Raw genomic sequence first — 9,568 nt, 5'->3', positions numbered from 1 at the left:
TCTCTCTCAGCAATAAAAGGAGGGAAAGTTCCCCAACTTGATTCATGATGCCAGCAATACCCTGGTATCAAAGACATTACAAGAAAATTATAGACTACTGTGTTTTCTAAACATAGCTATATAAATCCCTGATGGAATAGTAGCAATTTGAATCCAGAAATATATGAAAGGGATAATGCTTAATGAAAAGTAAGTTCTAACTCTGGAATGCAAGGTTGATTCAACATTAAGCAAATCTGTTAATATAATTAACCATTTTAATAGACTAATAATTTCTTTTTCTCCAATCACCATACCTGTCCTCAGAAACATGAGGGATCATTCCAGAACAATAACCTGTTTATGGTTCAGGTGGGGAAACCTATTATGAAAATGATTGTATCTAACTAACATTGCACTGTTAACTTCTAGGCAGTGCTGTCTCTGTCAATGCCAAGACCTAGGTACCCAAGAGAGTTGCTGGATTTAAGCTGAAGGAAACCTAAACCATAACCACGGCTTATGACATGAAGGAATGACTATTTTAACCACAAGGTTTTTTTTTTTTTAATCTTCCACTGTGATTTTATGTTAGTTCTTTTGAAAACATTAGTATATTGTTCTATATTAAGAATCATAGGGAATCCAAGGTGATTAAGAATCATGGGGAATCCAAGGTCAAGGTTCTATTGACGATTTCACAAGTCTCAGAGACATTAATCTTTTCCAATTATTAGAGCACCACTTTGCAGAAGACTCCTATTTTCATTCCCAAGTTTTCATTTTGATATATGGTGTGTCATTGGAAAAATCAAAAAGTTGATGCTATAAAAGTACAGTTGGGTCTGCCGGCTGTTATGTACTCACCAAAGCTATTTTTGTTTTTAGAAATACTCTCATGTATTGTTACAGCATGTAATCTACTTTCTAGTTTGAGGATTAGTAAATTCAAGGTGAAGCAGCTAATCGGTGGTAGGGTCTGAAGAGGTGTCACATGTCCTAACTTCAAGGACATTGCTCTTCTGTCCACATCCCTCATCTACTAGAGTCTTATTTCCAACTGCATTTGGACCCAGAACAAAACATAAACATGATGTTCTACACATTCCTCCCAAAAAACAATATTGGGGCATAAAATATACTTTTAAAGCCTTCTTGTAATGATAAAATTTTTATTAAAGGTTTTTATTTGTACTAGAAGAGAGGAAAAATTATTACACAAATTTCTTATTCATGAATAACATAAAAACTACGTATGAATCCAAAGGTGAAGATTAATTAAACTAAAAGTATAACTTCAGGGCATTGTAAAAAGGTTATAATATTATCACAAGTTACAAAAGCTGACACTGTCCTTTTCATTTTTATTTCTTCCTGCTATATATTTCTTGAAGTTAAACTGTATTTTAAAACTTGGATATGTCCAATAAAAAGCAGGCACTCTTAAAATAAGTTTTATCACATTTTTCCCTTTCAAGAAAATGCTGAAAAAGTTAATTTTTTAAATACATAAGTATAATAATGCTTTCTTTTTTGAAGAGTTTTTAATGCCTTCCCTTTTGTGCCATCTAAAATAAAGTTTCTTAGCACTGCTTTAGGGCTATCATACACTATCCCCTTTTCCCCATCTATTAATATATCTGTCTTTTTTCTCCCACTATTCCTCAGCACATACCTGTACTTTATCTTGTTAAATTACCTGTTTCCTGAATGCCATGCCTCCAAGGTTTTACTTATGCTGTCACCTCTGCTGCAAATGTCTTTCCATCTTGCCTACATAGTGTTACTTCTAATGTTACTTCTAATGTTACTACTAATTCCTCAATATATTTGCTTAAATGTTACTTCCTGTGTCTAAATATCTCAGGCAGGATCCATCACTCCTCTATGATTCTGCCATTTATAAATGTCACCCTCAGGACTTATGTCTTAGTTATATAAATTATATATTTATGTAATTATTCTATTTGATGACATGTTGCAAAGTAAATTGGCCACTAGCCTGTTTTTGTAAATACAGTTTTATTGGAGCACAGCCATGTTCATTAATTCATATACTAGCTCTGGCTGGTATCATGTTAAAATGGCAACGTTGAGTAGTTGCCACAGAGATTGTATTGGCTCACAAAGCCTATAATATTTACTATCTGGGCCTTGAGAGACAAAGTTTGCCAACCCCTGTGCTAAATTGTGACATCCAGGGGTACAGAGACAGAGATTTATTCATTCCTGAGTCCCTGACACTTTGCTCCAGCTCTTACTTGTTTAACCAGCTATGAATAAGTACATGGCAGTGCTGAAGAGCAGAACCTCTGAGACCCAGGCATCTGAGTTCTAATCTTTCCACATTCTAGATGTGAGACCTACAATAAATTACACCATTCATCTTTACTTCAGTTTCCTTTTCTGTAAAATGAAGATAATGATAATACCTATTTCACACGGCTAAGGTAAAGATTACATCTTGTATGGGCAGCCCTTAGCTTAGTGACTGATGTGTATCAAATATTCAATACATACTATTGTTATTATTCATAGTTAAAACATGCTGTAGTGCTTTAATAATTAATTTAAGAGCTCCAGGCATCATTTTCCTCTCATAAGGTACAAGAGGAATTTTCCTCTCATAAGGTGGAACACTTAGCTTCCTAAGTTCTCTTATACTTCTATAACTTCATGCTGATATGATCCGTCGATGGTTCTCAGTGCTTCAGAAGAGTTTCATAAGGAATTATGGAACAATGAAGGTCAAAAGTGACATCAGCTCAGTCAACAAGAGAAGCTGACTCAGCCACAGCCTCCAAATTACTCTCAGGCCAAACAGCAAATCACCACTTAGAGGCTTTTGCTGGGCAATGCGGCTCATGCCTGTAATTCCACCATTTCTAGGAGGCTGAGGCGGGAAAATAGCTTGAGGCCAGAAGTTTGAGACCAGCCTGGCAACATAGTGAGACCATGCCTCTCCAAAAAATTTAAAAAATTAGCCAGGCAAGAAAATAGGCTCCCATACTTCATGAAATTAAAGACTTTATGGTTCTAGCTCAGCTAAAGCTGGACCAGAGAACTAACCATCACCCCAAAAGGTTTCTAACCAAACAAAAATATTCTTGCCTATCCCCCAAATCTCTGATAAATGTTTAGATGAGTCATTCTGATACGATTATAACTCCAGAGTCAGGTTTGTTTTTGCTCTACATGGTAATTCTGTGTTTCAAAATGTTTTCTAAACTACTTTATACTTTATACAGAGGTTTTATTTAAAAATATAAGCATAAAACTAAAACATCAAAAAGTGACATCATAATTATATTTTACTGTGTTTCTGAAAGTTTCTTTTTCAGCTTCTAGTTATCAAGGAAGATATATAACCTCAGATCCAGGACCTTTCAAAGAACGGACAAAATCTGACTGAGGTGCAAGAAACAGAAAAAAAGCAAACATGCTTCAAAACCTCTGAGAAATTGTGTTGTCAATCAAATACAATGACCTGATATTTAACTCAATCCAGAAGTGAACTCCTTTCTCTTGGTAACAAAGAGGACCTTGCATGCGGAACATGACAGGGAGCTCTGAAGACATATTTCTAAAAGGTTATTTCATACGTAAAGACAATCAATGTCTATAGTGAAGACCAACAAGGATGATTAACTTATAGACCCTTAAAAAACAAAAGAGGCCTGGCGCGGTGGCTCACGCCTGTAATCCCAGCACTTTGGGAGGCTGAGGTAGGCAGATCACGAGGTCAGGAAATCGAGACCATCCTGGCTAACACGGTGAAACCCCATCTCTATTAAAAATACAAAAAATTAGCCAGGCGTGGTGGCGGGCGCCTGTGGTCCCAGCTACTCAGGAGGCTGAGGCAGGAGAATGGCGTGAACCCGGGAGGTGGAGGTTGCAGTGAGCCGAGATAGCGCCACTGCACTCCAGCCTGGGCGACAGAGCAAGACCCTATCTTAAAAAAAAAAAAAAAAAAAAAAAAAGAGTTCAATAAATAGGAATAGGGGAATATATTTTGGAGTACATTTATTGCTGAGAGTGAGAATATCAGAATAAAATACTTTTTCTAATCACTTGTAATATTGGTAATTTTTTAATGAAAAATTACAAAGTAACATAGATGACCACGAAATATATTGGCTTTTGTTACTTGATTGTGATCATATTCATGTCATGTTAACATTCATCATACCGCAAAGTTTACATTTTAAACCAGAGATTACATTTCATACTTACAATATATTTTCATTCGAGATTTGTTTTATGATAGTTAAATAGCAAAAGTGGTATCCATAGATACACCTAAAGTTTACCAATTTTTTTATGTTTATGTATGTGTGTGTGTGTGTGTATGTGTGTGGCACTTACCAGTGTCTATCAGAAAAAGAACACAGACATTTCCAAGACTAGGAATTTTCTCAGTACTTTAAACAGAAATGCACAGGTTGGATAACTTGTGAAACATGTAGAACTTTATAAATTAAAAACAGACAAACACCTCTGCGTCATTTTACTCCACATTGTTGGCAGATAATAATTACATGTTTTGTCTGTTCTTTTTTTTAAGGACTGTGAATTTGAAATAACACTCTTCTCACCTCAGTGTGAGAAATTGAGTCTCTATAATCAGCTCGAGTTATTCCTACTTTACTCCTACCTCATTATTTAAAGCATAATCTTTTCAGTAATTATTATATATTATCTTCCCTGTAATTATTTTTCTTTTTCTGCATCACTTATTTTTAGATGTCACAATTGCACTTAGTTGAATAATAGATAAAAATACATTGAGTTGTTGCAGTCTTGCCTCATTACTCTGCCCTTCCATTGCTCTGAGTCTTTTTTCTTTTTCTTTTTTAACTTCTTGGAACTCCTTCCAATTCATCTCCTCTTTTGTGTCACTTCAATGAGCTAAACTAAAGGCCTGAAGCAGCCTCTGCAAATAAAGGCAAGAATTTCACTGCCCTGGAAAGGAAGCCTAATTCATAGCAGTGTTTTAGGGTGGCAGATACTTGTTAGAACCTTTCTTCACTTATATCTCTTGCCTTCAAAGTCTCCAAGGCGAGACTCTTAAATTTCTTGGCCATGCTACCATGCATAATATGCTTTATCTTCAGTAGGGTTATTGTAAGTGTCCAACCATAGTTAAAACCAGAAGATTCTCTAAATTTCTGAGCTCTATATGGTATACAGTACTGCTAAATTTGATTCATCATAATCTTCTGTGTCTTAATCATTATTCTGTGTCCACTGCCCAAAGACAGTACCTGGCACAAGGAAGATGCCCCACCATAGTATTCAGACGCTGAATAGTAAAGGAATGAAGGCGATCTTCATAGCAGCGATGTGATGTAGACATTAGTGTTATGTCAGTCAGAGTCCAATTAGGAAACAGAAGTAACACCAGAAATTTTGATCTAGAGATTTTTTAACTTGCTGTAACAAACTATTTGCTAAGTAACTAAAAATGCCACCAGAGAAAACTGAGCTATCACAGTAATTTCAGAAAGCAGTTATCACCATTTGGACTGAGTTTAAAATTATTAAAATTGGAGGCATGAAGGACAGACTCTTGGGGCTGACACTCAGGCCTCCAAGGAAGAGTCACTGCTCAGCTGATGCTCATGTCTCTGGTAGCATAGCATGAATTCCACAGGACTCCTGAGGTTTGAGGCCAGGTATGACTTTTTGATGCGAGTGTCTCTGATGGAGAGGGCTAAGATGAAGCTGACCCTGCAAACACTGGAAAAGCTCCACACTGGATTTAGTTGCTGATGTAGGAATGAACTGCCTCTACCAGGGTGAAGCAGCAAGGCTAGGGTGATTGATGTTCACATGAATAGGAAGGAGACAGGCTTGCCAGGGGAAATAACACAAAGCAATAAGAAAGAAGTGGGTCCCTCCCTTCTCCTCCAGCCTTGCAGTCTCTCCCTAGCATCTGCTTTTGGCAAAACTTAATAAGGAAAAGCTGGCTTAGGGGGAAGTGTGGATTATAGTCCCAGCCCAGCTGGCTTAACTGGTGATGTTCTGATTTTACAGATAAGGTACTAAGACAGAGATAAGTTAAATAACTTACCCATAGTTTTCTAAGTTCACAGTTATGAAATAAAGAGGATAATAGCCCACATTTCAGTCATTTCCCAGTGAGCCATATAACATGATATGGGGTTGTATTAGTCCATTCTTGCACTGCTGTAAAGAAATACCTGAGATTGGGTAATTTACAAACAAAAAAAGAGGTTTAATTGGCTCACAGTTCCACAGGCTATACAGGAAGCACAACGGCTTCTGCTTCTGGGGAGGCCTCAGGAAGCTCCTAATCAGGGTGGAAGGCAAAGGGTAGCCAGCACTTCCCATGCCTGGGAGGTGCTACACACTTTCAAACAACCAGATCTCATGAGAACACTATCACAAGAACAGCACTAGGCAGATGGTGCTAAACAACTCATGAGAAACCACCCCCATGATCCAATCACACTCCACCAGGCCCAGCTCCAACATTGGGGATTACAATTGAATATGAGATTTGGGTGGGGACACAGATCCAAATCACATCAGTAGTTATGATAAATATATATTATAAATATACTCGTTATATGATAAATATACACATTATAAATATTCAAATAAAACAGAAGAGATTTCAGGCACTTGTGTAAAGCTGAAAAGGAAATATTTTTACTCATATTAAAATGTGTCAAAGTTTTACCTCTTGCCACATCAAGTCACTAAAGTAAATGTCTAGGAAAGAATGACAAATCAAACAATTCTGTTCATCAAATAACTATTTTTTGTTTTAATTTATACTATTTTCAGAGAATATGCTTTCTCATATGGGTCTGCACTTTATTTTAGGGCCATGTTTTTAAGTAGTCATAATTAGTTCATTTAGGAAAAACAAACTTAAGAATAGAACAGTAATTTAGCAGCATCTGTTATCACTGACAGTTAGAAATCTGTCAACAGGTGTTTCTAATTGTAAAATTTTCCCTAATGTTAAAACTGAGTACAAGATAATTGCATAGAAGCAATTTTCTGCTACTAAATAAATTTTGTTTATATTGATTCGGCTGTTTTTAGCACAGGCTCACATTAGTCTATGCTATTGACTAACATTTACTGTTGAAAAATATTTGCTAGTTTGGAAACAAAAGGGCGTTCAAAGAGGGTTGTGCTTACTGGTGGCTTGGACAAGAAGCCCAGAAGACATCACTGTTGGATACGTGTGAGCCCAGGCTGTGTGCTTTACCATTTTAATATGAATCATAATAATTCTCATTGATACAATGACTGTTTAACAACAGCCCTCCGGGAAATCTAGTTGTCTAAAAATCTCCACTAGTCAAAAGAATGTTTCTGGTAGAATTGGGTGATGATCTAGAGTTCCAGGTCTAAGATTATACCCATTATTCAAACACTTTTAAACAAAGCATAAAAATGATAAATGGGCCTAAGAAGCCGTACACAAGTTACGCCCATTTCAAGAGATTCTCTTGTGTTAGGAAGACAGACTACTTGACATTTACAAAATATTAGCAAACATTACTTTTTAAAAATGTGTTTAATCATTCATATAATGAGAGCTTATTAATTAAATTCTCTATTTTTAGCATTGCTAAACGCCAGGGAGTGCAAAAGATGACCAGGATGGTGACCGCCCTCACAGAGATATCAATTAATTATGGAGACATTTTTTACTCAGAAAACAAGTTGAGAACAATTCAGGGCACTAATTAATTACAGCTGACTTTTCATAGTAACCAGGGAAATGATCTATAGTGGGGTTAGGCTGGAAGTGAAAGGTTATTTCTAATTATTTTTGGTTGGAAAGCTCTAACGTGCATGGGGATTCTTCCAATCTTTTCCTAAATATCTCTTCCTTCAGAATGACTTTCCTGACTCTCCCTGGAAACATTTCATTCCCTTCTACCTGCCCAACTCCTTGAGATTATGTCATGTGTCCTTGTTTTGATTCTCTATCAAACTCTCATTATACCCTAATGCAGACTTTACAATACTGAAATTTCTGTTTTTGTTTGCTGTTTTTGAGGGCAGGAACAGAGACTGCCTTGCTCTCATGGTCTCCCTGTGCCCCATGCAGTGTCTGCTCACAGGCAAGCCAGCTGACTCATGATGACTGGTCCTGCTTCACCTGTCCATTCTGTGCCCACTGTATCTGCTATTCTGGTTACACGAGGAGTTTTCATGCAGCATCCAGACTTTTGGAAAGAGAACTTGGTCCCTAGGCAATTTTGTGGGAACCTGTCTCTTCAAAGTCGACACTTCTCAGGAATGGAAACTGGACTGCCCACACATCATCACCAGAATCTTCTTCCAATCTTTTGCAGAGATAGTGGTCATTTATGGGAAAAAATTAAAATCATGCACAGGTGGAGGAGAGCAAGGTCAGGCAAAGTCCAGTTGTTGGCCAAGACTCATGTCCTATGTCAAAAGCATGAACATTTGGTTTGGCAGCAGCAAACACCATCTTACTCACCTGGGAGGTAAAGTTCACAACCACTGACCTAGGGCCAAGCTCAGTGTAGAAAGTGGATCCCTGGCCAGATATAGGAATATATTGTAAGCCTTTCCTATGTGTATCTGAGGGGCTCCAGGATCACCTGGGCTTTCCTGAAGGCCTGGAACCTTTATTCCTGGGCTTAATACCATCTGGCGCTGCCCCTAGGTGGCCACAGTGGTTCCCACGTTGCCTGCACTGTGCCTGATGTGGGCTCTGCCTTCATTGACCTGTTCTGGCCAGAAGAGACATTCTAGAAGATTCTTGAGTCATCAGGAGACCCTGAATCTTGCCTCTTCCCTCTGAGAATGGATCATAGTAGCTTTCTTCCTGTCCCTTCACAATTTTTAAGATCGAAACAGTATATACGATTTTAACACATCATAATTATGATAGTAATTGATTCAAATTAGTGACAGAAAAGAAATACCATTATTAAAGCACAGGCAACATGAAACAAACACGTGGAATACGTCATACTAAAAACTTTTGCACAGCAAAAGAAACAACAGAGTAAAAAAAGGCAACATACAGAATGGAAGAAAATATTTGCAAGCCATGTATCTAATAAGGGGTTAATCTCAATTACATAAGGAACTGCTACAACTCAATATCAAAAGACCTAATCAGCTTATTTAAAAAAATGAGCTAAGGACTTGAATAGACATTTCTCCAAAGGCGGCATACAAATAGCCAACGGGTATACTAAATCATCAGGGAAATGCAAATCAAAACCACAGTGAGATGTCATCGTACACCTGTCAGGATGGCTATTCAGACACACACACACACAAGAAGCATCGCTGAGGATGTAGAGAAACTGAAACTCTATGCGGTTGGTTAAAATGCAAAATGGTGCAGCTTCTATGGAAAACAGTATGGAGGTTTATAAAAAATTAAAAATAGAACTATCTTGTGTTCCAGTAATCCCACTTCTGGGTATTTAACCAAAATTATTGAAATCAGGACCTAGAAGAGATATTAGCACTCCTGTGTTAAGAGCACTTCTATTGATAATGGCCAAAATGTTGAAACAATCTAAATGTCCACTGACAGATGAAGAAAGTATGATAT

General features: G+C 37.3%; 1 annotated feature.

Annotated features, from left to right (window-relative positions):
- Positions 301 to 470: an enhancer, noted in NCBI's record as "experimental_44839 CRE fragment used in MPRA reporter constructs". NCBI's record gives its function as "activates a minimal promoter by MPRAs in K562 erythroleukemia cells, with activity observed for the introgressed 16:77006591 variant allele {active_cell/tissue: K562}" and the evidence as "EXISTENCE:reporter gene assay evidence [ECO:0000049][PMID:34662402]".

The sequence above is a fragment of the Homo sapiens genome, chromosome 16 (assembly GCF_000001405.40).
Source record: "Homo sapiens chromosome 16, GRCh38.p14 Primary Assembly".
Taxonomy (NCBI): Eukaryota; Metazoa; Chordata; class Mammalia; order Primates; family Hominidae; genus Homo; species Homo sapiens.
The sequence above is the reverse complement of the archived record's forward strand: the minus strand, read 5'-3'. Positions and strand labels throughout refer to the sequence as shown.